This window comes from Homo sapiens, chromosome 6 (genome assembly GCF_000001405.40).
Source record: "Homo sapiens chromosome 6, GRCh38.p14 Primary Assembly".
Lineage (NCBI taxonomy): Eukaryota > Metazoa > Chordata > Mammalia > Primates > Hominidae > Homo > Homo sapiens.
Window position 1 is genome coordinate 73,260,964 of NC_000006.12, and position 26,913 is coordinate 73,287,876.

General features: G+C 45.9%; 1 protein-coding gene, 2 long non-coding RNA genes and 1 pseudogene across 38 annotated transcripts in view, besides 2 other annotated features; 1 reads left to right on the plus strand and 3 right to left on the minus strand.

Moving 5' to 3' along the window:
* The window catches only part of LOC122539213 (KHDC1-KHDC1L), an 86,616-nt gene that overhangs the window by 37,420 nt on the left and 22,283 nt on the right, over positions 1 to 26,913 (minus strand). The gene's annotated exons all lie outside the window — the stretch shown is intronic.
* KHDC1 (KH domain containing 1) overlaps positions 1 to 26,913 on the minus strand; it is a 69,065-nt gene that overhangs the window by 19,650 nt on the left and 22,502 nt on the right. The window contains exon 1 of one of the 4 annotated variants that reach the window (NM_001395216.1): positions 1,971 to 2,233. The exons of 2 other annotated variants lie outside the window; for them this stretch is intronic. The gene's annotated coding sequence lies outside the window, so the exon portion shown is untranslated. Of the gene's footprint in view, positions 1 to 1,810; positions 2,234 to 26,913 lie in introns of those variants that run through there. One more of the 4 variants, NM_030568.5, reaches the window with a different exon arrangement.
* Positions 2,077 to 2,346: a silencer, noted in NCBI's record as "silent region_17332". NCBI's record gives its function as "represses an Ori minimal core promoter by ATAC-STARR-seq in GM12878 lymphoblastoid cells {active_cell/tissue: GM12878}" and the evidence as "EXISTENCE:reporter gene assay evidence [ECO:0000049][PMID:35858748]".
* The window catches only part of KHDC1-AS1 (KHDC1 antisense RNA 1), a 38,166-nt pseudogene continuing 13,525 nt past the window's right edge, over positions 2,273 to 26,913 (plus strand). For 3 of the 31 annotated variants that reach the window (NR_173130.1, NR_173134.1, NR_173116.1), the window contains exons 1-3: positions 2,273 to 2,453; positions 9,435 to 9,564; positions 23,673 to 23,771. The product of NR_173130.1 is annotated as a KHDC1 antisense RNA 1, transcript variant 23 (long non-coding RNA). Of the gene's footprint in view, positions 2,458 to 6,918; positions 7,148 to 9,385; positions 9,565 to 14,803; positions 16,008 to 16,205; positions 16,321 to 18,801; positions 18,945 to 22,458; positions 22,587 to 23,672; positions 23,772 to 26,913 lie in introns of all 31 variants that reach the window. The other 28 variants (NR_173133.1, NR_173112.1, NR_173138.1 and 25 more) reach the window with 25 other exon arrangements.
* Positions 7,611 to 8,187: an enhancer, noted in NCBI's record as "H3K27ac-H3K4me1 hESC enhancer chr6:73978297-73978873 (GRCh37/hg19 assembly coordinates)". NCBI's record gives its function as "activates a minimal SCP1, AML or CMV promoter by ChIP-STARR-seq in naive H9 embryonic stem cells {active_cell/tissue: H9 hESC(naive)}" and the evidence as "EXISTENCE:reporter gene assay evidence [ECO:0000049][PMID:30033119]".
* C6orf147 (chromosome 6 open reading frame 147) overlaps positions 13,171 to 26,913 on the minus strand; it is a 36,245-nt gene continuing 22,502 nt past the window's right edge. The window contains exons 4-5 of the long non-coding RNA NR_027005.4: positions 14,451 to 14,593; positions 13,171 to 14,196 (exon numbers count right to left, since the gene is read on the minus strand). This is a non-coding gene — a long non-coding RNA (chromosome 6 open reading frame 147). The remainder of the gene's footprint in view (positions 14,197 to 14,450; positions 14,594 to 26,913) is intronic.

Below are 26,913 nucleotides of genomic sequence, written 5' to 3' on the forward strand. Positions count from 1 at the left end.
ACTGTATGTTTCCTCTTTTTAAACTTTATTCATGGCATTTTTGTTCTATGAAACATTTTAGCCCATAATCTCACATCATGGAAGAGTAATTACCTTGCAAACCTCTCTTGTCTACTCCTACTCAGTAGCATCAAATCCAGTTGATTCAAGTCTTGCCCTCTCTTTAGAGGAAATATAGTGTGGTGATTAGAAGCATAGGCCAGGCATGGTGGCTCACACCTGTAATCCCAGCATTTTGGGAGGCCAAGGTGAGCAGATTACCTGAGGTCAGGAGTTTGAGACCAGCCTGGCCAACATGGTGAAACCCCGTCTTTACTAAAAATACAAAAATTAGCTGGGCATGGTGGCGCATGCCTGTAATCCCAGCTACTTGAGAGGCTGAGGCACGAGAATGGCTTGAACCCAGAAGGCGGGGATTGCAGTGAGCTAAGATCACGCCACTGCCTGGTGACAGAGCTAGACTCTGTCTCAAAAAATAAATAAATAAATAAAATTTTTTTTAAAAAAATAAGCATAGACTCTAGGACCAGGCACAGTGGCTCACACCTGTAATCCCAACACTTTGGGAGGTCGAGGCGGGCGGACCCCTTGAGCCCAGGAATTTGAGACCCGCCTGGGCAATATGGTGAAACCCTGTCACTATAAAAAAAATACCAAAAAAAAAAATAGGCTGGGAGTGGTGGCTCACGCCTGTAATCCCAGCACTTTGGGAGGCCAAGGCGGGTGGATCATGAGGTCAGGAGTTTGAAACCAGCCTGGCCAAGGTGGTGAAACCCCGTCTCTGCTAAAAATACAAAAATTAGCTGGGCATGGTGGCAGGCACCTGTAATCCCAGCTACTCGGGAGGCTGAGGCAGGAGAATCACTTGAACCCGGGAGATAGAGGTTGCAGTGAGCCAAGATCGCACCACTGCACTCCAGCCTGGGTGACAGAGCAAGACTCCATCTCAAAAAAAAAAAAAAAAGCCTAGCTGGGCAAGGTGGTATGTGCCTGCGGTCTCAGCTACTCAGGAGGCTGAGGTGAGAGAATTCATTGAGCCCGGCAGGTTGGAGCTGCAGTGAGCCATGATGGTGCCACAGCCCTCCAGCCTAGGCAGCAGGAAAGAGGCCCTTCTCAAAAAAAAAAAAGCATAGACTCTAGGGCCAAATTGATGTGCTCAAGCAAAGGTTTTGCCACTTACGGTGTAACCTTGGGCCAGTTGCTTAACCTCTCTTGACCTCACTTGCCTTCTTTGTAAACCAGAGGTGATAATAGTATACCCATTTCATAGGGCTGTGGTGAGAACTAGAGGAGTTAATACATTTAAAGAGCTTAAAAGTGTCTGGTGCATAGCAAGTGCTACGTAAATGTTAAACCTTTCCTGCCCTTTTCCTCTGCTCCTCCTTTCCCTTGTTTCCTGTTACAGCATTCCTTCTTTTTTTCTTACTATTTCCTCACTATGCCTTTGCTTGAATACTAAAAAGAAACTACTGGTCCAACAGCAGGCAACACCTCATGCGATTACTTTAAATGACTTCAAAATAATACAAACATATCCAGCACAATAGTTTACATTTTAAAGGTGTTACACCCATTTTGTTTTGAGATGTGTCAACAAAACCCGTGTTTCTTTTCTTTCTATAAGTTTAAAATGTCCCCAAATCAATTAACAATAGAGGAAAGTCACACGATCTGTTTTAATTTTTCTCTTTATACTGCTATCTCCTGTTTCCCCTGTTTTTACACTTCTTTGCAGCTCACTTTCCTTATCTGTAAGATATTCTTAGGATGAACTTAGTAAGAAATGTGCAAGATCTAGATGAAGACCCACCAGATAGGATGCTCTCTTGCAGACACGCAACTCACTGACTCAACCAATGAGGAAATTATCCCACAAAGCAGATAATCCTAATGGAGGGCAGAATTCAGGACTGAGCATCTCAGTGATGCCGCCGGGAACCCAGGCTTCTCTGTCCCTTCACCGGACTAACCGAGTTCGAGACCACAGGGGGGTCAGGTAGCCAAGGCTGGGCTTTGACGGTAGGAATGAAGGAGGTGAGGGTGGCGCGCCGCAGGCCTGGGCCACTCCCTGAGTAGGGCGGCGGCGGCGGCGGCGGCGGCGGCGGCAGCGGCGGCAGCGGCTGCAGGCCTGGCCGATTGTGAGGAGACAGCGGTACCTCCTGGGCCGCGCACCCGACCCTTCCAGGGGTCCCGGCTCGCGCCGCGGCCGCGCGAGGCGCGCTCGAGCGGAAGTGGCGGCGACCCCGCCGGAAGCGCGCGGCTGCGGCGCGGGAAGCAACCCAGAGCCCTCCTCCCGCCTGCTCTGTGTAGGAGACAGCCTGCGGAGCCCACTGCCGGCGCGCAGAGAGCCCAGCAGCTCTTGAGTCCAGGAAGCAAGGGTGGGAGGAGGGACGAGCCAGTGGCAATGACCCAGACCCGGACGACCCCCATTGCTGAGCCAGCGGAGCTGCTTGGTGAGTGGCCTCCAGGCGGCATCTCTTGCTCTCAGCCCGGAGGGGGTTTTGGGGACCCAGGCTGTGGGGCTGCCTCTTCCCATGCCTTCAGTTCACCCCGATATGGGGTGAAAAACCCTAGAGACCCTCGGGTGTCGGTCCACCAAGGGAGGTCCAGACTCCCCAGGAATGTTGCCTGGGGAGGGGTGTCGCGGTGGGGGGGGGGGTGACCCAGGCCCACCCTCTGCAGGGCACTTAAAATGCTCCACATCCCCAGTGGATGCCTCCTGTCACGCATCACACCGTGGTGTATTTGAGATCCCATCTGCCACTTGGGCTGGAGGGAAATGAATGTTTTTGGGTTTCTTGTCATTGCTTCCTGCGGATTCCATTTTACTCCTGTTCGTTTATGGCCTCAAACATGAATTTGAAGAATTTTGCCCTCCCTGGCAGTATTGGGAAGAAGATTCTTTTGTTCAAGTCCGTTTGGACAATTAGATGGGAGTATTAACAAAAGGTCGGGCTGGGCACAGTGGCTCACACCTGTAATCCCAACACTTTGGGAGGCCAAAGAGCAAGGATCGCTTGAGCCCAGGAGTTCGAAACCAGCTGGGGCAACAGAGGGAGAACTTGTCTCTACAAAAAATTTAAAAATCAGCTGGGCATGGTGGTGCACGCCTGTAGCCCAAGCTATATGGGAAGCTGAGGTGGGAGGATTGCTTGAGCCCGAGAGTTTGAGGCTGCTGTGAGCTGAGATCACGCCACTGCATTCCAGCCTGGGCAACAAAGCAAGACCCTGTCTGAGGTCAACTCTGCCCCCAGGAAGGTATGGGACCTTGCAATCTTATCTAGGTTGCGTCTTTTTCATTGAAATCACGAAATCATTAAGGTAAGTAGGGAAGGGTCAAGATAGCTAAGATGAGTGAGGGGACACAGACACCAATAAAAGTTCTAACTTTGAGGACTCCTCCAGTATTCTTTTCATCCTAAAGCTTCTGGCCTATCAGCTAGTTCAGACACAGCCTAGGAGTCTCAAGCCAGTACAGGAACAAGGAGGCAGGTTGCCCTCTTGGGGCAAAGCTGTGGCCCCACCCTTGATGAAGAACGCCTGTAGGAACCCAGGACCTGTGAGCAGGTAGAGTCCTGAAGGTTTAAGATTCTGTGGAGCAGGTATGTGCAGTGCCAGTGCGCAACCAGCAACTGATGGACAGGAATAGGTAGAGCTGCTCTGAGTGCATTCCTTTGGCAAGCCTGGGCCAGAGGCACACAGGAAGGAATTAGTCATGTGGTATCATAGGCCAGGTGTGGAAGCAAATGAGCCAGAGTGGAACCAGGACCAGCCAGGGCCAAGGCAGGGAGAAGAGTTCCTCTAGCTGACATTGACAGGAAAGCAGAGTCAAAAACCTGGAATGGTTTGCTTCAAAGACTGGATGCTGCCTAATGACCTCGAAGGCCAGTGATACCTGGACTCTTGAGTGAGCAAGGCAGATTTTGGAATGAGCACACAACTTCAAGTAAGCCCGGAGATGATTACCTGTAGTTTCTGCTGCTCTTAGAGGCAGAATCATCTGAGAACTGATTGAGGAGTGCATGTATACCCCAGAGACTAGTGCACTCTAGGATAAAAGGAGTCATTCAGCCCTTACTTTTGGTTGGATGCAGGGTGTAGTTTCAATAAAATGTCACAGAACAAATTTCTAAGACCTTTAGGTTGAGTGAGTGTTAGAGTTTGTCTAGTAGTATATTTCTCATCAGTTACCTATTTAGCTGTTCTGCATAGGCCTTTGAGATAAGGAAATAAGTAAGATAAATTCTCCCCAGAAACCGCAAAACAATTATAATGTTGAGAGAAGAATGAAGTAGTAACTCTGTCTGTACTGAAGAAGGAATTCGGTGTACAGAAAAGAGGTCACTGCCTGAGGTCGGGAGTTTAAGATCAGCCTGGCCAACATGGTGAAACCCCATCTCTACAAAAATACAGAAATTAGTCGGGCATGATGGTGGGTGCCTGTAATCCCAGCTACTCGGGAGGCTGAGGCAGGAGAATTGCTAGAACCTGGGAGGTGGAAGTTGCAGTGAGCCAAGACTGTGCCATTGCACTCTGGCCTGGGCAACTGAGCGAGACTCCGTCTCAAAAAAAAAAAAAAAAAAAAAAAAGTAACGTGACTGGTCACTGTGAGCTGGATTGGAGGAAGGTGGGAATGGAGACTAAGGGCTCTTGCTGAGAGGAGTTTGAGTAAGCCTTTTTCAGGTTCTCTTGTCTTTAGCATTTAAATCCTGGACTTTATAAGTAGACTGACAGTTGTGGCATCAACACAACTAAAAGGCAGGGTTACCCTCTTAGAGTACACTTGGAAAATCAGTCTGAAATGAAAGAAACTTTCTTGGTGAAGTGGAAGTGGAAGTTTTGGTTGGGTGCAGTGGCTCATACCTGTAATCCTAACATTTTGGGAGGCAAAGGTGGGAGGATTGCTTGAGACCAGGAGTTTGAGACCAGCCTGGGCAACATGGCGAGATCCCTTTTCTTTTTCTTTTTTTTGGGGGGAGACGAGGTCTGGCTTTGTTACCCAGGCTAAAGTGCAGTGCAATGGCATTCTAACACTCACCCAACCTAAGGGTCTTAGTATCCATACAAAAAGCATTGACAAAAAGCATGCCATATGTTAAGATCAAGGTTTATCTTTGGGTGTTGAGTGCAACACTTGTTATAAGAAGCAAAATAAACTTAGAAGCAAAGGAGTGGATGAGGATCTGTCTTGGGGGAAAATCCAAAGATTAGTTGTGATCAGAGTATAGTACCTTTTGGCCTGACTTATATAACAAACTCTGCAATATGTTAAAACCTTTAATGAAAACAAGGGAGATGTTGGACTCTAATGTCACTCTTAATAATGAAATAACCAACATTTGTTGAGCTTTTTACTACATACCACAGGTGTTCTTCTAAGCTTTTTACTTTCATTAGCTCAATAGTCTTTGCCTTATCATATAATAGGCACTACTGCATGGATATATGTTGTCATTTACTGAGGAAGCAGTTATCAAGAGCCCAGACAATAAGCTGAGAAATCTGAGTTGACTTTAAAGTCCTCCTGTGTTTCAACAAGGGTGCCAAGACCATTCGATGGAGGAGGGACAGTCTTTTCAAAAAATGGTACTTGGAAAGCTGGATACCCACATACAAAAGAATGTTGTTGGCCTCCTTACCTTATACCAGATACAGAACTTAAAGTGGATCAAAGACCTAAATGTAAAACTGTTAGAAGAAAACACAGGGCAAAAGCTTCATGATGTTAGATTTGGCAATGATTTCTCAGATATGACTCCAAAAGCATATGCAACAACAACAAAAAAGATGAATTGGATTTCATCAAAATTATAAACTTTTGTGCATCAAGGAACATGAAGAAGAATGAAAAGACAACCCACAGAATGAGAAAAAAATATTTGCAAATCATGTATCTGATAAGAGATTAATATACAGGATAACAACCCAATTGAAACATAAAGTAGCCAAGTGCATTGGCACACACTTATAGTCCCTACTATTCAGGAGGCTGAGGCAGGAGGATTGCTGAGCCCAGAAGTTCGAGACCAGCGTGGGCAACATTGCAAGGCCCTATCTCAAACAATAAATTATAAGCAAAGGACTTAAATAGACATTTCTCCAAAGACGATATACAAATGGCCAATAAGAACATGAAAAGATGTTCAACATCACTAGTCATTAGGGAAATGCAGATCAAAACCACAATGAGATACCAGTTCATACCCATTAGAATGGCTGTCATCAAAAAAATGGGGCCAAGCACAGTGGCTTACGCCTGTAATCCCAGCACTCTAGGAGGCCAAGGCAGGTGGATCACCTAAGGTCAGGAGTTCAAGACCAGCCTGGCCAACATGGCAAAACCCCATCTCTACTAAAAAAAATGCAAAAATTAGCTGGTTGTGGTGGCAGGCGCCTGTAGTCCCAGCTACTTGGGAGGCTGAGGCACGAGAATTGCTTGAACCTGGGAGATAGAGGTTGGAGTGAGCTGAGATCACGCCACTGCACTCCAGACTGGGTGACAGAGGAAGACTCCATCTCAAAAAAAAGAAAAAAGAAAAGAAAAAATGGAAAAGACAAAATTGTTGGCAAAGATATTGAGAAATTTGAACCCTTGTTATTACTGGTAGGAATATAAAATGGTGCAGCCACTGTGGAAAACAGTTTAATTTGTCCTCAGAAAGTTAGAGAATTACCTTATGACCCAGCAATTCCATTTTTAGGTATATATTCAAAAGAATTGAAAGCAGAGACTGAAATAAGTGCAGATACTTGGATGCCAGTATTTATAATAGCATTATTCACAGTGGCCAAAATGTGGAACCAACCCAAGAATTGATGAGCAGATGAATGGATAAACAAAATATGATTTAGACATACAACGGAATATTATTCAGCCTTTTTTTTTTTCTGAGATGGAGTTTCGTTCTTGTTGCCCAGCCTGGAGTGCGATGGCACAATCTCAGCTCACTGCAACATCCGCCTCCTGGGTTCAAGCAATTCTCCTGCCTCAACCCCCCGAGTAGCTGGGATTACAGGCACACGCCACCATGCCCAGCTAATTTTGTATTTTTAGTAGAGACGGGGTTTTTCTCCATGTTGGTCATGTGTCCGGAATTGATGGGTTCTTGGTCTCACTGACTTCGAGAATGAAGCGCGGACCCTCACGGTGAGTGTTACAGCTCTTAAGGTGGCACATCTGGAGTTTGTTCCTTCTTATGTTTGGATGTGTTCGGAGTTTCTTCCTTCTGGTGGGTTCGTAGTCTCCCTGGCTCAGGACTGAAGCTGCAGACCTTCACGGTGAGTGTGTTACAGCTCTTAAGGCGGCGCATCTGGAGTTTTTCGTTCCTCCCAGTGGGCTCGTGGTCTCGCTGGCTTCAGGAGTGAAGCTGCAGACTTTCGCGGTGAGTGTTACAGCTCATAAAAGCAGTGTGGCCCCAAAGAGTAAGCAGCAGCAAGATTTATTGCAAAGAGCAAAGAACAAAGCTTCCACGGTGTGGAAGGGGACCCCAACGGGTTGCCGCTGCTGGCTCCGGAAGCCTGCTTTTATTCTCTTATCTGGCCCCACCCACGTCCTGCTGATTGGTAGGGCCAAGTGGTCTGTTTTGGACAGGGCGCTGAATGGTGCGTTTACAATCCCTGAGCTAGACATAAAGGTTCTCCGGGTCCCCACTAGATTAACCAGATACAGAGTGTGGATACAAAGGTTCTCCAAGGCCCCACCAGAGCAGCTAGATACAGAGTGTTGACTGGTGCACTCACAAACCCTGAGCTAGACACAGGGTGCTGATTGGTGTATTTACAATCCCTGAGCTAGATATAAAGACTCTCCACGTCCCCACTAGACTCAGGAGCCCAGCTGGCTTCGCCTAGTGGATCCTGCACCAGGGCTGCAGGTGGAGGTGCCTGCCAGTCCCGCGCCCTGCGGTCGCACTCCTCAGCCCTTGGGTAGTCGATGGGACTGGGCGCCATGGAGCAGGGGGTGGTGCTCGTCGGGGAGCTCAGGCAGCACAGGAGCCCGTGGAGTGGGTGGGCGGCTCAGGCATGGCGGGCTGCAGTTCCCGAGCCCTTGCCCCGTGGGAAGGCAGCTAAGGCTCGGTGAGAAATCGAGCCCAGCGCCGGTGGACTGGCACTGCTGGGGGACCCAGTACACCCTCCGCAGCCGCTGGCCCGGGTGCTAAGCCCCTCATTGCCCGGGGCCAGCAGGGCCGGCCGGCTGCTCCGAGTATGGGGCCACCAAGCCCATGCCCACCCGGAACTCCAGCTGGCCTGCAAGCACCGCGCACAGCCCCGGTTCCCGCTCGCGCCTCTCCCTCCACACCTCCCTGCAAGCTGAGGGAGCCGGCTCTGGCCTTGGCCAGCCCAGAAAGGGGCTCCCACAGTGCAGCGGTGGGCCGAAGGGCTCCTCAAGTGCCGCCAAAGTGGGAGCCCAGGCAGAGGAGGCGCGGACAGCGAGCGAGGGCTGTGAGGACTGCCAGCACGCTGTCACCTCTCAGTCAGGCGGGTCTCAAACTCCCAACCTCACGTGATCTGCCCGCCTGGGCCTCCCAAAGTGCTGGGATTACAGGCATGAGTCACTGTGCCCAGCCTGAATCTTTTTATGCTTATTGTTTGTGGATTTTGTTTCATTCTTACGAATGCCCTCCTTATTCCATGACTATAAAATATTTGCTAATGGTTTCCTGTGGTATGGTTTGAGTTTTCTTTTTTACATTTAAATGTTTGATGTTCCTGAGGTGTGATTCGATTTAGGTTGTTAGGTATAGTTCAAATGAATTTTTATTATTTTTATTATTTTACCTATTTAAGTCTAATTTTACTGTTTGTTGTTGTTGTTGTTGTTGGAGACAGAGCCTCACTCTGCCACCCAGGCTGGAGTGCAGTGGTGTGATCATAGCTCACTGCAGCCTCAAATTCCTGGACTCCAGTTATCTTCCCACCTCAGTCTCCTGAGCAGCTGGGACTACAGGCATGGACCACTATGCCTGGCCAATTTTTTAATTGTTTTTATTTTTGTGGAGACAAGGTCTCACCATCTTGCCCAGGCTGATCTCAAGCTCCTTGGCTCAAGTGATCCTCCCTCCTTGGCCTCCCAAAGTGCTGGGATTACAGGTGTGACCTATTGCACCTGGCCTCAAATGGGTTTTTAATAGGTTATAACCTGTTTATTCCAATGGTAATTCAATCCTTGATTGAGTAATCCGCCTTTTCCACAGTAATCTGAATTGTACCCTTTATTAAATATTAAATTTCTATGCATATATGTGGGTGTATTTTTGGTTTTCTGTTCTATTTCATTGATTGGTCTTTTCATGCATTAATAAAACTGCAGCCTTTTATTTATTGAAGTATTGTACTATTTAGTACGCAGATAGGACTAAGCCTTTTTCATGCCTGTTTTTTGTAGAGTTTGTAGTTTAGGAATCATTTTAAAATTTTTACATGGTTTAACCCAGGAGGCAGAGGTTGCAGTGAGCTGAGATTTTGCGACTACACTCCAACCTGGGCAACAGAGCGGGACTCCATTCCAAAAAAATAAGAAAAACAGAAAAATAATAATTACATCTGCAAAGACCTTATTTCCAGGTAAGTCCACATTCACAAGTATCAGGAATTAGAACTTGGACATATCTTTTTGAGGTATTCAATTTAACCCACTACACCCAGTTGACAATATATATCAACACCCTCTTCACTTAGTGTCCTGAAGGAATTGATCCTATAGTGGAAAAGTTTTTGTTTCTATTTTTTCTTTTTTTTTTTTCTGAAATCGAGTTTTGCTCTTGTCGCCCAGGCTAGAGTGCAGTGGCGTGATCTCAGCTCACTGCAACCTCCACCTCCCAGGTTCAAGTGATTCTCCTGCCTCAGCCTCCCGAGTAGCTGGGACTACAGGCGCGTGCCACCACGCCTGGCTAATTTTTTGTATTTTTAGTAGAGACGGGGTTTTACCATCTTGGCCAGGCTGGTCTCGATCTCCTGACCTCATGATCCACCCACATCGGCCTCTCAAAGTGCTGGGATTACAAGCGTGAGCCACCGCGCCCGGCCTGTTGCTCTTTTTCTTTGTACATTCTGTTAATATTTTCATCGTTAATTAGTAAATGATGGCAGTGTTTTTCAGACTGCAAGTTGTCACCCATTAGAGAATGGTGAAATTAGCTTAGTCGGTCACAATCAATACCCTTTATAATATAAAAGAATGTAGCAAAGTCTATTAATTTCTTTTTGAAATATATAGACATGATGTAAAATGTTTTGGTTTTTTTTTGTTGTTGTTGTTGGGGGGGACAGAATCTCACTCTGACGCCCAGGCTGGAGTGCAGTGGCACAATCTCAGCTCACTGCAACCACCTCCGCCCTCTGGGTCCAAGTGATTTTCTGCCTCAGCCTCCTCAGTAGCTGGGATTACAGGCACCCGTCACCACACCTGGCTAATTTTGTATTTTTAGTAGACACAGGGTTTCACTATGTTGGCCAGGCTGGTCTTGAACTCCTGACCTCGTGATCCACCTGCCTTGGCCTCCCAAAGTGCTGGGATTACAGGCGTAATCCACCGTGCCTGGTGTAAAATATATTTTTTATTATGAGTCTAAGTCAAAAAAGCATAAGAAACATGTATGATGCATTCCTACCTTGTAATAATGAATAGCCATTAAGAAGACTGAGGTTAGGCTGGGTGCAGTGGCTCACACCTGTAATCTCAGCACTATGGGAGGCCGAGGTGGGTGGATCACCTGAGGTCAGGAGTTCAAGACCAGCCTGGCCAACATGGTGAAACCCCTTCTCTACTAAAACTACAAGAATTAGCCAGGCATGGCCGCGCATGCCTGTAATCCCAGCTACTAGGGGGTGCTGAGGCAGGAGGATCGCTTGAACCTGGGAGGCAGATGTTGCAGTGAGCTGAGATCGTGCCACTGCACTCCAGCCTGGGCAACAGAGTGAGACTCCATCTCAAAAAAAAATAAGAAGACTGAGGTTGATCAGTATGTACTGACAGATGGGGATGTCCTTGGTACATATGGATGTGGACTGAAAAATCAACTCTTTATAGTGTAATCCCATTTAAAAAAAAAGGTTACAAATTGTGCTTTTCTATGAGTAGTGTTGACTGTCAACACCAGACAACACTACTCATAGAAAAGCACAATTTGTCTCTAAAGGTCCACCAGAAAAAACTTTTGATCATGCAAACCTAAGTTTATTAGAATTCCTACACCATCATTTTTGTTTGTTTGTTTTTGAGACGGAGTCTTGCTCTGTCGCCCACGCTGGAGTGCAGTGGAGCGATCTCGGCTCACTGCAATCTCTGCCTCCCAGGTTCAAGCTATTCTCCTGCCTCACTCCCAAGTAGCTGGGACTACAGGCACCTGCCACCACGTCGGGGTTTCACCATGTTGTCTAAGCTGGTCTCGAACTGCTGACCTTGTGATCCGCCCACCCACCCTGGCCTCCCAAAGTGCTGGGATTACAGGCGTGAGCCACCGCGCCCAGCCCTCCTACACCATCTTGACAGAACCTTAGTACAATCTCAGAAGGAAAAAGCCAGGTAGAAGGCCAGACGTGGTGGCTCACACCCGTAATCCCAGCGCTTTGGGAGGCTGAGGTGGGCATATCACTTCAGATCGGAGTTCCAGACCAGCCTAGCCAACATGGTAAGACCCTGTCTCTACTAAAAATACAAAAAGTTAGCCAGGTTTGGTGGCGGGTGCCTGTAATCCCAGTTACTCAGGAGGCTAAGGCAGGAGAATCGCTTGAACCCAGAAGGCAGAGGTTGCAGTGAGCCGAGATGGCACCACTGCACTCCAGCCTGGGTGACAGAGCAAGACTCCATCCCGGGGGGGAAAAGAAAAAAACAGGGAGAGATCTTTATATTTTAGGGCCTGGGCTGGATAATTTTTTCTTTTCTTTTCTTTTCTTTTTCTTTTTTTTTTTTTGGAGATGGAGTCTCACTCTGTCACCCAGGCTGGAGTGCAATGGGGTGATCTTGGCTCACTGCAACCTCCACCTCCCAGGTTCAAGTGATTCTCCTGCCTCAGCCTCCCAAGTAGCTGGCATTATAGGCACGTGCCACCACGCCTGGCTAATTTTTGTATTTTTAGTAGAGATGGGGTTTCACCATGTTGGCCAGGCTGGTGGCGAACTCTTGACCTCAGGTGATCCGCCCACCTCGGCCTCCCAAAGTGCTGGGATTACAGGCGTGAGCCACCGCGCCCAGCTTTTTTGTTTGTTTGTTTGTTTGTTTTTGAGACGGAGTCTCTCTCTGTTGCCCAGGCTGGAGTGCAATGGCGTGATCTCGGCTCACTGCAACCTTCGCCTCCTGGGTTCAAGCAATTCTCCTGTCTCAGCCTCCCAAGTAGCTGGGATTACAGGCACGTGCCACAACGCCCAGCTAATTTTTGTATTTTCAGTAGAGATAGGGTTTCACCATGTTGGCCAGGCTGGTCTCGAACTCCTGACCTGAAGTGATCCCCCCGCCTCGGCCTCCCAAAGTGCTGGAATTATAGGCATGAGCAACCACTCCCAGCCTAAAATTGACATTTTAAAATGTTATTTTATTTATTCATTTTAAAATAATAGTAATAAGCCAGGCACGGGCCGGGCGCAGTGGCTCACGCCTGTAGTCCCAGCACTTTGGGAGGCCAAGGTAAGCAGATCATGAGGTCAGGAGATCGAGACCATCCTGGCTAACACGGTGAAACCCCGTCTCTACTAAAAATACAAAAAATTAGCCGGGCGTGGTGGCAGGCGCCTGTAGTCCCAGCAACTCGGGAGGCTGAGGAGGCAGGAGAATGGCGTGAACCCGGGAGGTGGAGCTTGCAGTGAGCCGAGATCACGCCACTGCCCTCCAGACTGGGCAACAGGGTAATACTCTGTCTTAGAAAAAATAAAAAAATAAGCCAGGCACAATGGTTCACACCTATAATCCTAACACTTTGGGAGGCAAAGGTGGGAGGATCACTTGAAGCCAAGAGTGGAGACCAGCCTGAGCAACCTAATGAAACTGCATCTCCATAAAAAATAAAAAGTTAACCAGGTGTGGTGGCACATACCTGTAGTCCCAGCTACTTGGGAAGATTGCTTGAATTTCGGGAGTTTGAGGCTACAGTGAAATACAATGGAGCCACTGCATACCAGCCTGGGTGACAGAGTGAGACCCTTTCTCTAAAAAAACAAAATGACAATAATAGCCACTACATGTTATAACATTTTTATTAAATCAATTTTTATCCAATATTAACATAACATTACATTTTTAATGAAAAATAACTATTTGCCAAAACAAAAAAGAATGGCATCATTCTACATTTTTGCAAATATGTATAGCGGGGCTCATTAGGCAATTGCCTGGACTCTCATCCCAGTCCACTTCTATTTATTAGCTGGTTAGCATTGCAGCAATCATCCTCATTCTAATGTATCCATTGTCCATTGCTGAGAGAAAGAAATGTATGAACTCTACCTAATGTTGGTGAGCAGTGTGCCTTATATGGTTTGGCTCTGTGTCCCCACCCAGATCTCACCTTGAATTGTAATAATCCCCACATGTAAAGGGCAAGACCAGGTGGAAGTAATCGGATCATGGGGGCAGTTTCCCCCATGCTGTTCTCGTGATGAGTGACTCTCACGACATCTGATGGTTTTATAAGCGTCTGGCATTTCCCCTACTGGCGCTCATTCATTCTCCTACCACCTTGTGAAAAGGTGCCTTCCGCCATGATTGTAAGTTTCCTGAGGTCTCCGCAGCAATGTGGAACTGTGAGTCAATTAAACCTCTTTTCTTTGTAAGGTACCCAGTCTCGTGTAGCAGCATAACAGACTAATACAGTGCCTTTGATAATTTTATAACATTTATTATTGGGAAACAACTGGAGCAAAGAAGGCCTGTACTCCAACACAGGTTCATGCACCCTACCATGCGAGCGCCACCTGGACTGGCTGGAGATGGGATCTGTGCACTGCTGAGGCCTTGTACTGGCTAGCCAGGATCTGAGGGAGCCAATTAGCGGGTGCCCCTGGAGGAGGTGGAGCTTACAGAAGGAACTAACCTGGCACCATGGGCCAATCTAGAGCAGTCTTGTCCTGTCCCCAGTCCACAAGGGATTCTCTCTAATTTCAGATCCCAGTCTGAGGCCGGGTGCAGTGGCTCATGCCTGTAATCCCAACACTTTGGGAGGCCCAGGCGGGCAGATCACCTGAGGTTGGGAATTTGAGACCAGCCTGACCAACATGGAGAAACCCCGTCCCTACTAAAAATACAAAAAGCTGGGCATGGTGGCGCATACCTATAATCCCAGCTACTCGGGAGGCTGAGGCAGGAGAATCACTTGAACCCAGGAGGTGAAGGTTGTGGTCAGCCAAGATCGCACCACTGCACTCCAGCCTGGGCAACAAGAGCGAAACTCTGTCTTAAAAACAAAACAACAAAAAAACAAAAACAGATCCCAGTCTGTTTGCAGGCAGTGGCACCCAGCCTGGTTGCAACCCTGTGCGGGGTGACACGGCTCTATGGGAAGTGTGTCCATCCCGGAAAGGGACTCCTTTTGCATACTTGCCTCACTGGTGCAGGTTTAGGCACATTCTGAAACCATCAGTGCTTTACTTGGTGGCTGGTCACCTGGAAAAGATATTTGGTAAGTGTCCTGGTGTCTTTACCACTGCGCTACACTTTTGACTCCCCTGGCTCACCCTAAACCACCCGCCTGAAACCTAAGGCAGAATCTAGTGTCCTGCAGGCCAGCATCCCAGTGACATCTTTCCCCTCTCCCCCCAATCCCCTCCCAGCCTTGCCCCATTTGGTAAAACTTCAACCTTCCTTTCTACACAGGCTCAAGCAGAGTCTTCCTCCTGGTGTTCCAGAAGGAGTTCAAGGTCCTGCTCCATATGGGACAGCTAGATTCTGAGGGCAATGTTGAGATCCTCATCTCCAGAAGGTGCTGGTGCCAGAAATATGACAAAAGGCTGATTGACGGGCCAGGCGCGGTGGCTCACGCCTGTATTCCCAGCACTTTGGGAGGCCAAGGCGGGTGGATCATGAGGTCAAGAGTTCGAGACCATCCTGGCCAATATGGTGAAACCCTGTCTCTACTAAAAATACAAAAAATTAGCTGGGCGTGGTGGCACGCATCTGTAGTCCCAACTACTTGGGAGGCTGAGGCAGGAGAATTGCTTGAACCGGGAGGAGGAGGTTGCAGTGAGCAGAGATCGTGCCACTGCTCTCCAGCCTGGGCGGCAGACTGAGTGAGATTCTGTCTAAAAAAAAAGAGGCCTGGTGTGGCGGCTCAGGCCTGTAATCCTAGCACTTTGGGAGGCTGAGGCAGGTGGATTGCCTGAGGTCAAGAGGTCAGGACCAGCCTGTCCAACATGGTGAAACCCCATCTCTACTAAAAATGCAAAAATTAGCCAGATGTGGTGGCACATGCTTGTAATCCCAGCTACTTCGGAGGCTGAGGCAGGAGAATCGCTTGAACCCAGAGTGTGGAAGTTGCAGTGAACCAAGATCATGCCACTTCACTCCAACCTGGGCGAAAGAGCAAAACTTCATCTCAAAAAAAGAAAAGTATTTAAAAAAAAAAAAACTAGCCAGGCTTTGTAGCATGTGCCTGTTGCCCCTTCTAATTGGAAGGCTGAGGTGGGAAGATCACTTGAGCTTGGGAGGTTAAGGCTGCAGTGAGCAGTGGTTGCACCACCTCACTCCAACCTGGGGTCAGAAGGAGACCCTATCTCAAAAAAAACAACTTTGTAAACTGTGATCCACACCTCAGTGCAGTGGGATAAAACTGTCCAGTAGCCTTGGCCTCCGAGGCCCTGTCTGAATCCTCCTTTTTTGCACCTGTAGCTAAAGGGCAGCAAGTGTTTTCTGTACTCTATATTCACTTTTAGACAAGTCACTTTTAGAGACTTGTTTAAAGATTCAAAATGAGTTATAATAAAAAATAAATGTAAAATATACCTAGCAATTGGTATCGATTGACAAGAAAGCTTTCTTTGCTTGTTCCCACATGAAGAAAAAAGGTGAAGAATTACAAAAGGTTGGTTCAGCTTTTCAATTTTTTTGTGTTAAGTGGGTGTAGCTAGGATAATTAATGTCCCAGGGAACTTTTGTAAATAAGGAAGAACATTCCTGTTTATTCTTTCATTAATGCTAGTTTTGAAAAAATAGGCTCTATAAATTAAGTTTTCATGTGTTGAAACATTGACAAATTGATTCCATTCTCCTTAACTGTTAGTTAAAAAGAACAAGTCTGGTCGGGCACGGTGGCTCACACCTGTAATTCAAGACTGGGAAGTGGAGGCAGGCGGATCACCTGAGGTCAGGAGTTCCAGACCAGCCTACCCAACATGGTGAAACCCCATCTCTACTAAAAATACAAAAATTAGCCAGGCATGTTGGCATGCGCCTATAATCCCAGCTACTCAGGAGGCTGAGGCAGGAGAATCGCCTGAACCCAGGAGGCAGAGGTTGCAGTGAGCCAAGATTGTGCCATTGCACTCCAGCCTGGGTGACAGAGCAAGACTCTGTCTCCAAAAAAAACAGAACAAGTCTGTCATGTTTCTTTATCATGATTTTCAGTAGCTTAAATGACAAAACACATTATCAGTTAGTATAAAACTTTAAAATATCGCTTGGGCCAAGCGCAATTGCTTATATCTGTAATCCCAGCACTTTGGGAGACCGAGGCAGGAAGATTGCTTGAGTCCAGGAGTTCAAAACAAGCCTAGGCAGTATAGTGAGACCTTGTCTCTATAAAAAAAACTTAAAAATTAGCCAGGCATGTTGGCATGTACCTATATAGTCCCACCTACAGAGGTAGCAGTAGGTGGGACAGAGGCAAGAGGATCACTTGGGCCTGGATTCAGGCTGCAGTGAGCCATGATCACACCAGCCACTGTGCTATAGTCTGTATGATGGAGATCGTGTCTCAAAAAAAAAAAAAAATCACTAAATTAGCATTTGGTATATGTCAGGTTTTATGGTTTTTACTGTTTGTGAAGTTAAATATCTTTTTATACCTTTGTCAAACATTTGTGTTTCTTTTGTAGATGCTTTCTCTCTCTCTCTCTCGGGTGTTTTTTTTTTTTTTTTTTTTTGAAATGGAGTCTTGCTCTGTCACCCAGCTGGAGTGCGGTGGTGCGATCTCAGCTCACTGCGACCTCCGCCTCCCGGGTTCAAGCGATTCTCCTGCCTTAGCCTCCTGAGTAGCTAGGATTACAAGCACAAGCCACCACGCCTGGCCAATTTTTTTTTTTTTTTTTTGTACTTTTAGTTTCACCGCCACATTGGCCAGGCTGGTCTCAAACTCCTGACCTCAAGTGATCCCCCCACCTCGGCCTCCCAAAATGCTGGGATTACAGGCGTGAGCCATGGCGCCTGGCCAGAATGCCTTCTCATGTCCTTTGCCTATATTTCTATTGATGTGTTTCTTTTTCTTACTAGTCTACAACAACTTTTTATTTTTTTATTTTTAGAGACAGGGTCTCGCTACATTGCCCAGGCTGGTCTTGAACTCCTGGCCTCAAACAATTCTCCTGCCTTGGCCTCCCAGAATGCTGGGATTACAGGCATGAGCCACTGTAGTCTAGCCCTAGCTCTTTATTTTTAATTTCAGTTTTCATTTGGTTTTACTTTTATTTATAGTACTTTTTCAGTATCACAAATGTTGATGTTTTTATGGGACTAAATCCATTCAACTTTTTCATTATGAATTTTTGCATTATGATTTTTATTTTATTACAGTATATTGTTGTAATTTTTTGTTTTATTGTTGTTAATTTCTTACTGTGCCTAACATAAATTAAACTTTATCATGGTATGTATGCATAGGAAAAATCACAGTACATATAGAGTTCAGTTATATTCATGGTTTCTGGCATCCACTGGAGGTCTTAGACCATATCCCCCAAGGATAAGGGGGCACTATTGTACACGAATTTTACAGATGAGGACAGTGTGAGAACATCAAATAACGTTTTTCCTGCCTCTTTGTCACTTTTCATGTGAATACATTCTCTCACACTTGGCTACAAACTCCTTTTTGGCATGGATGATAAATCTGTATTCTTCTACTACTGAGACCCTAGGTACACAGTTAAACACTAGATGATTGACTGTTACAGTGATTGCATATTTATCAACCAGTTAGCCTTAATTAATGCATGTGGTATTAATGAATAAAAACCAGGTCAATCTGGCATGGTGGCTCATGCCTATAATCCCAGCACTTTGGGAGGCCAAGGCTCGCAGATCACTTGCAGTCAGGAGTTCAAGACCACCTTGGCCAACGTGACGAAACCCCGTCTCTACTAAAAATACAAAAAACTTAGCCAGGCATAGTGGCGCACACCTGTAATCCAGCTACTTGGGAGCCTGAGGCAGGAGAATTGCTTGAACCTGGGAGGTGGAGGCTGCAGTGAGCCAAGATCGCGCTCCAGCCTAGGTGACAGACCGAGCCTGTCTCAAAAAATAAAAATGAAAATAAAAAACCAAGTCAACTATATGGACATTTGACTGTATATAAATCTCTCTATATGCTCTACAGTATCAAGAAAAGTCTGCGAAAATTGCATATTAATAATTGGGAAAATATATTGAAATTTTTTTCTCCATTTGCCTCAATGATAACATGGGACCATGGATTTTTTTTTTTTTTTTTTTTTTTGAAGAGATGTGGTGTCGCTGTCACCCAGGCTGGAGTGCAGTGGCGAACATGGCTCACTGCAGCCTTGACCTCTTAGGCTCGAGCAATCCTCCTGCCTCAGTCCCCCAAGTAACTTGGACTATAGGCACCCACCACCACACCCAGCTAATGTTTATATTTTTCGTAGAGACAGAGTTTTGCTGTGTTGCCAGGCTGATCAACTCCTGAGCTTATGCAATCCACTCACCTCGGCCTCCCAAAGTGCCAGGATTACAGGCGTGAGCCACCTTGCCCGGCCAAGATGAGGTATTATTACATCATTATTGTAAGGTACTGTTGGGCCCTCTTTCTATTTTGTTATTTTGTATGTGATCATCATTGTTGCTCATCATTCCTGTTCTTGGTATAGTTCCTACTTTTTCTGCGTTCCTTTGGCCTATTCACAGTTTACTACATCCATCCTTCTCTACTTTTATAGTTAGAGAAATGTGATAGCCAGTCCTACACTTAATAGAAGAAATAATACCCAGATATTTACCCTCCTTCAAATTAAAATTAATAAAGATTAAATATATCCTTTTTTGTTTTATTTATTTTTGAGGAGACAGTCTCACTGTCACCCAGGTTGGAGTGCAATGGCACAATCACAACTCACTACAGCCTCTACCTACCCATGCTCAGGTGATCCTCCCATCTCAGCCTTCCAAGTAGCTGGAACCACAGGCATGCACCACCATGCTCGGCTAATGTTTGTATTTTATTTTTTGTAGAAATGGGGTTTTGCCATGTTGTCCAGGCTGGTCTCGAACTCCTGGGCTCAAGCAATCAGCCCACCTCAGCCTCCCAAAGTGCTGAGATTACTGGCATGACCCAACATGCCAAGCCAAACATATCCTTTTATGTGATTTATTTGTGAATTACAATGGTCTTTAATTTCTTTTTTTTTTTTTTTTTTTTGAGACTTTTTCTTTTCACTCTTGTTGCCCAGGCTGGAGTACAATGGCATAATCTCGGCTCACCGCAACCTCCACCTCCCAGGTTCAAGTGATTCTCCTGCCTCAGCCTCCCGAGTAGCTGGGATTACAGGCATGCACCACCACACACAGCTAATTTTGTATTTTTAGTAGCGATGGGGTTTCTCCATATTGGTCAGGCTGGTCTCAAACTCCAGACCTCAGGTGACCTGTCCACCTTGGCCTCCCAAAGTGCTGGGATTACAGGTGTGAGCCACCATGCCCAACCTAATTTCTTTTTTAATAGCTTTTTAAATCTTGTCAGTTTGCATTTTCCCCAGAACTCCCTTCTGTGATCATATATCTTCTTCCTAAAGCACATCCTTTAGAAGTTTTGGCTGGGCATGGTGGCTTACGCCTGTAATCCCAACACTTTGGGAGACCAAGTAGGGCAAATCACTTGAGGTCAGGAGTTTGAGATCAGCCTGGCCAACATGGGGAAACCCTGTCTCTACTAAAAATACAAAAATTAGCCTGGCATGGTGGTGCCTGTCTGTAATCCCAGCACTTTGGGAGGCCAAGGCAGGCGGATCACCTGAGATCAGGAGTTTGAGACCAGCCTAACATGGAGAAACCTTGTCTCTACTAAAAATAGAAATTTAGCCAGGCGTGGTGGCACACACCTGTAATCCCAGCTACTCAGGAGGCTAAGGCAGGAGAATCACTTGAACCTGGGAGGCAGAGGTTGCAGTGAGCCAAGCTCATGCCACGGCACTCCAGCCTGGGTGACAGAACGAGACTCTCTCAAAAAAAAAAACAAAAAACCACCTGGGTGCAGTGGGTCACACCTGTAATCCCAGCATTTCCTGAAGGTCAAGAGTTCAAGACCAGCCTTGCCAACATGGTGAAACTCCGTCTCTACTTAAAATATAAAAAATCAGCCAGGCGTGGTGATGGGCGCCTGTAATCCCAGCTACTTGGGAGGCTGAGGCAGGAGAATCGCTTGAACCCAGGAGGCAAAGATTCCAGTGAGCCAAGATCGCGCCATTGCACTCCAGCCTGGGCAGTAAGAGTGAAACTTCGTCTCAAAAAAAAAAAAAAAAAAATGGGTTCTAGATTTACAGAAGAGTTGTGAGGATAGTACAGAGTGCCCATTTACTCCACACTCAGTTTTTCCTATTATTAACATCTTATATTAAAGCCCATACTTTATTCTGATTTCCTTAGTTTTTACCTAAGGTCCTTTTTCTGCCCCAGGAGCCCAAACAGTGTACCACATTACATTTAGTCATCATGTCTCCTTAGGCTCCTCTTGGCTGTGGTAGATTCTCAGACTTTTTTTGTTTTTGATGACCTTGACAGTTTTGAGGCATACTGGTCAAGCATATTTTAAGATGCCACTCTAGGCCAGGTCCGGTGGCTCACGCCTGTAATCCCTGCACTTTGGGAGGCCAAGGTGGGTGGATCACTTGAGGCTGGGAGTTTGAGACCAGCCTGGCCAACATGGTGGAACCCCATCTCCACTAAAAATACAAAAATTAGCCGGGCGTGGTGGCATGCGCCTGTAGTCCCAGCTACTCAGGAGGCTGAGGCATGAGAATTGCTTGTACTCGGAAGGCGAAGGTTGTAGTGAGCCAAGATTACACCACTGCACTCCAGCCCAAGTGACAGAGTGAGACTCTGTCTAAAAAAAAAAAAAAAAAAGATGCCACTCTAGTGGAGTTTGTCTGAAGTCTCATGATTAGACTGGGATTAGGGGTTTTGAGGAGGAAGACCATAAAGTAAGCGCCATTTTCATCACATTATACCTGAAACTGCCATTGCAAAATCATAACTGAGAGTGAAAGAGAGCTGATCTAACCAACTCCATCTTGCTTCTAACCTCCAAACTGTCCTTTTTCATTCCTGGGCTTAGGCTCAACTAACTTTAGGAGGAACTTAGTTTATAGGTTAAAACGAAGATGATAACAGCCCTTTCCCAAAACAAACCTCCTTGCCTGGGGACTAGACTCCCTTTGTAGGACTAACAAAGGAGCCACAAGGTTAGAAATTATAGTTTAGGAGTCATGCAGCTGGAGGCTACAAGATTCAGACCCTCCCTAAACTGCTCTTAAGATCAGTGCTTGAGATACTTTACAGACCCTGCACTTGATGGATCAGCTGGCACCACCACCCAGATCGATAAACTGGCTCATCTGATCTTGTGGCCCCCACCCAGGAACTGACTCCGTGCAAGAGGCTTTAATTCCCTATGATTTTATCTCTGACCTAACCAATCAACACTCGACACACTGTCCTTCCCCCACCCACCATATTATCCTTAAAAACTCTGATCCCCGAGTGCTCCAGGAGACAGATTTGAGTAATGATAAAACTCTGGTCTCCTGCACAGCCTGTTCTACGTGAATTACTCTTTCTCTATTACAATTCGCCTGTCTTTATAAATTGGCTCTGTCTAGGAAATGGGCAAGGTGAAGCCACTGGGCAGTTACATACCGGAGGTACATGCTATTAACATGACTTCACTTTTTATGTTGACCTTGATCATCAGGCTGAAGTAGTCTGTCAGTCCTCTCCACTGTAAAGTTACTCATACCTTCCTTTTCCTTATTGTAATCTTTTGAAGGAAGTCATTACGTATAGCTCACATTTAATGAAGGAACCGGGAGTTATGCTCCACCTCCATAAGGACAGAGTACCTACATAAATTATTTGAAATTCTGCATGGGAGATTTGTCTGTTCTACCTCACTTATTTAATTATTCATTTTTAACTGTGTGGACTCAAGTGTTACTAGTTTTTTTTTTTTAAAAAGAAGCAGCTTGTGGTTTTGTTTATCCTATTTTGTTTCTTATTCCATTGGCTTTTGCTTTAATCTTTTATTTCCTTAGGTGTTTTGTTATATAGAGACAGGGTCTCAGTGTTGCCCAGGCTAGTCTCAAGTGATCCATGCAAGTCTCAACTCCCGACCTCAAGTGATCCTCCTTCCCAGGCCTCCCAAAGTGCTGGGATTACAAGTGTAAGCACCCGGCCCTTAGTTTTTGTTTCTTTAGGATCATTCTGTTTTCTTTAATTTTTGGAGTTGAAGCTTTACCTCACTGGTTTTCATTCTTTTTTTTTTTTTTTTGGAGACAGAGTCTCTCTCTGTCGCCCAGGCTGGAGTGCAGTGGCGCGATCTTGGCTCACTGCAACCTCTGCCCCCCAGGTTCAAATTTTTGTATTTTTAGTAGGGAAAGGGTTTCATCGTGTTGGCCAGGCTGGTCTTGAACTCCTGACCTCAGGTGATCCTCCCGCCTCCGCCTCCCACAGTGCTGGGATTACAGGAGTGACCACCGTGCCTGGCACCATTCTTTCCTCTTTGATAACTGCAGTATTTTCCCACTCCACCCTTCATCCTCTCCAGCACATTGAAACCACCTTTGCAAAGATTATGACACCGAGAGAAGTCTAGCATGGCTGACCCCATCTTGCTTCTAGCCTCACTCATTCCTGGGCATAGGCCAAACTAACCTTGGGAGGAGTTTAATTTCTAGTTTAACTTTAAGGCAAGGATGATAATCGTTCCTCTCTAAAACGGATCCCCTCCTTGTTCAGGAACTGAAACAGCCTTTGTAAGACTAATGAAAACCCACAATATTAGGATTATGAGAGGGCCTGACTTCTGCCAAAATGTAGGCATAGTTTTTGTAATCCCTTACTGCTCAGAAGGTATGTGGTCATAGGTTACAAGATTTGTGACTTCCTCAGTTTCTCTTATAGATAAGATCACTATTGTAAAACCTAAGATTGATCTTTTGAATTGTTTTTCAAACTTTTGCATTCTGGCAACTGACATACCCTACCGGGGCCCATGACTCCTGACTCAGCCAGTCCTGTGGTCCCCACCCAGAGGTGGGCTTAGTGCACAAGGACCATTTTCCACACCCCTAAGATTTCATCTTCAACCATTCCCTAGCCCCCTGCCCACCAAATTATCTATAAAAACTCTGGCCTCTGAGCTCTCAGGGAGGCAGATTTTAGTAATCTTAAACTCCTGTCTCTCTGCTTGGCTGGCCTTGCATTAATTAAATTAAACTATTTCTTTACTACCACAATGCTGTCTCAGTGAATTGGATTTCCCTGTGCAGCAGGCAAGAAGAATCTGTTGGATGATTACAACATTGCTGGATTGATAGCAGCCTCACCTGCCAGGCTCAAACTCCAGGTATGCTCTTAAAGCTGCCCTTTCTCTTGGGATATCAGGCTTATCCACCCTTCCTGACCTTCTTTGAATCTTGAAAAGATTAAAGGATTGCCTGTGAAGTTTTGTGTCTGTTACTTTGCTTTTTTTTTAGATGGAGTTTCGCTCTTGTCACCCAGGCTGGAATGCAGTGGCGCAATCTCGGCTCCCTGCAACCTCTGCCTCCTGGGTTCAAGCGATTCTCCTGCCTCAGCCTCCCAAGTAGCTAGGATTACTGGCGCATGCCACCACACTTTGCTAATTTTTGTATTTTTAGTAGAGATGGGGTTTCACCATGTTGGCCAGGCTAGTCTCGAACTGCTGACCTCAGGTGATCTGCCCACCTCAGCCTCCCAAAGTGTTGGGATTACAAGTGTGAGCCACCCAGCGTGTCTGTTACTTTGCATTATAAATATCCCACTCTTTAAATTTCCATAGAGTTTGTTTTGCCATAGAAAGACAATGTTACTTTTTATTCATCATCTTTTAAAGTCTTGGCAAAAATTCCACCAGTCCTACCAGAGACCGCAGGTTGACTCTGCTGATTTGGCCTCTATGCCTTATTCATGCTTATCATGACTCTTCTTTTTTTTTTTTTTTAAGATGGAATCCAGCTCTGTAGCCCAGGCTGGAGTGCAGTGGCACGATCTCAGCTCACTGCAACCTCTGCCTCCCGGGTTCAAGCAATTCTCCTGCCTCAGCCTCCCAAGTAGCTGAGATTACAGGCACCTGCCACCATGCTCAGCTAATTTTTGTATTTTTTTAGTAGAGACAGGGTTTCGCCATGTTGGCCAGGCTGGTCTCAAACTCCTGACATCAGGTGATCTGCCTGCCTCGGCCTCCCGAAGTGCTGGGATTACAGGCCTGAGTCACTGTGCCCGGCCCATTTTCTTTTTTTTCTTTTTTTTTTTTTTTTATTATACTCTAAGTTTTAGGGTACATGTGCATATTGTGCAGGTTAGTTACATATGTATACATGTGCCATGCTGGTGCGCTGCACCCACTAATGTGTCATCTAGCATTAGGTATATCTCCCAATGCTATCCCTCCCCCATTTTCTATTTTTAGAAGAATCAGGCTTTCCAGATTTTGGTCAGTTCCTAGTTCCAAGAACTGATCAAAGTTAGCCACCAGATGGAGCTCAATCTTATCTTAACTCCATCCCCAGCTTGTTCTTTAAAAGACAAACTGGAAAGGCCTTTTTTCTCCTTTATGCTAGTTTCCAAAGCACATTTCCTATAAATAATCACATTTAGGAAGGGAAAGGACAAAGGGGAAAACTATTAAACTTATCTATCCACATGATTCAGCAAAACTGTCAACTCCGCAAGGCAAGACTTAGAACCCATCTGTGTAGCCAGTGAGAACTCTACACCCATTCCCAGCCTTATCCTGCTGCCAAACCATACCACAGTGTGTCAGGGAATAAGAGCTACTTTTCCTTGCTTGGTCCTAAATGGATTCACTCGTTTGTGTGGGGTTTTTTTAAGTCAGTAAAGGAAAAATTCAGAACTCCAAAAAAGTCTCTATATAGTTTACATAAGATGATATTGGTGATAATTAGATACTAATCACATTAATTTCTCAGATTCACTGCTCTTGAGGACTTCTTTTCTTGAAATATATGAAAATTCAGAACTCTGAAGAAAAAGAGGGACCTGATGATAAAGAGACCTGATTCCCTCATTTATACCTGAGATAATGGATGGTATCACTAACAAACCAACTTTTCATTGATCAACTAAGCACTGAGAGCCACACCTCTTCTATTCTCTAAAAATAATTACAAAGATGAGCATGCAGAATGTGTTATGACAAAGAGCAATATATAATTTTAAAGAACCAGATGGGGCAGAGCATGGTGGCTCACGTCTACAATCCCAGCACTTTGGGAGGCTGAGGCAGGAGGATCATTTGAGGTCAGGAGTTTGAGACCAGCCTGACGAACATGGTGAAACCCTGTCTCTACTAAAAATCGTGAAAATTAGCTGGGCATGGTAGCTTGCACCTGTAATCTCAGTTACTCGGGAGGCCGAGGCAGGAGAATCACTTGAACCTGAGAGGCAGAGATTGCAGTGAGCTGAGTTCATGCCACTGCACTCCAGCCCGGGCAACAGAGTGAGACTCTGTCTCAAAAAAAAAAAAAAGAACCAGATACTGCTTTCAGGATTTAATGCCCTGACTAGGATCCTGAAAGATGACGCAATCCTACTACCAGGATGGCTCCCAGAAGCATGGAAATAACAGTGGCCCACACTAAGTGAGGTAGAAATGCCAAAATTGTAGCAAAAGGTAGATGAATGAAAAGGCTCGGAAAAGTGAGTATGCTATAGACTATATACGGCAAATAGTTGGAAAATCCACAAGAGGACCCAGAAAATATATTACTTACCAAAGCAATAAGAAATGTTCTAGTGAGAATGTCACCAACACTGCTAAGTTCAGTAGTGGCTCTTCTCTGAGAGCCGGGACTTACAGTAGGAGATGCCGTGATAAAACTGGTCTCTAATAGCAATTGCGATGATAGCCACTATCCCCCAAAGGCCAGTCAAGGCCACTTAACCCTCAGATGCCAGAAAGACACAATCATCATAACAAGTGGCAAGTCAGCTTCACAGAGGGACCTGACTACTAGAGGGTTATTAAATGACTAAGGAAAAATACCTGGGCAGCCAACAAGGGTACTATTCAATCTGTACATCAAAGAAATCAAGGCTAGATGATTAGGCTGGAAGCAGTAGTCTCATGCTCCCTTGCCCAGTTTCCAGACATACGCCAGTTTCCAGATCTGAAACTGAATGACTGAAGGAGAGGCCAGATCCCCAGGAGGAAGGACCTGGCAATGCTATGGCAGTACATAGTAATGGTTCCCTCTTCCTTCCCACAAAGGAACCTACAGTCATTTACTTCAAGTAATATACACTGGGAAAAGAGAAATAGCCAAACATCATAGACTCTTGGACACAAGGTCCCAGTTGACAATGATACATGTAGATTCAGCATCATCTGCCACTCCTCTTAGAGGGAGGACATATGGGGTCAAGTAATAAATGGAGTCCTAAGATCTAGCTCACAGTGGGCACACTGGGTCCATAACCCACCTAGTGATCATTTTCTCAGCTTCCAA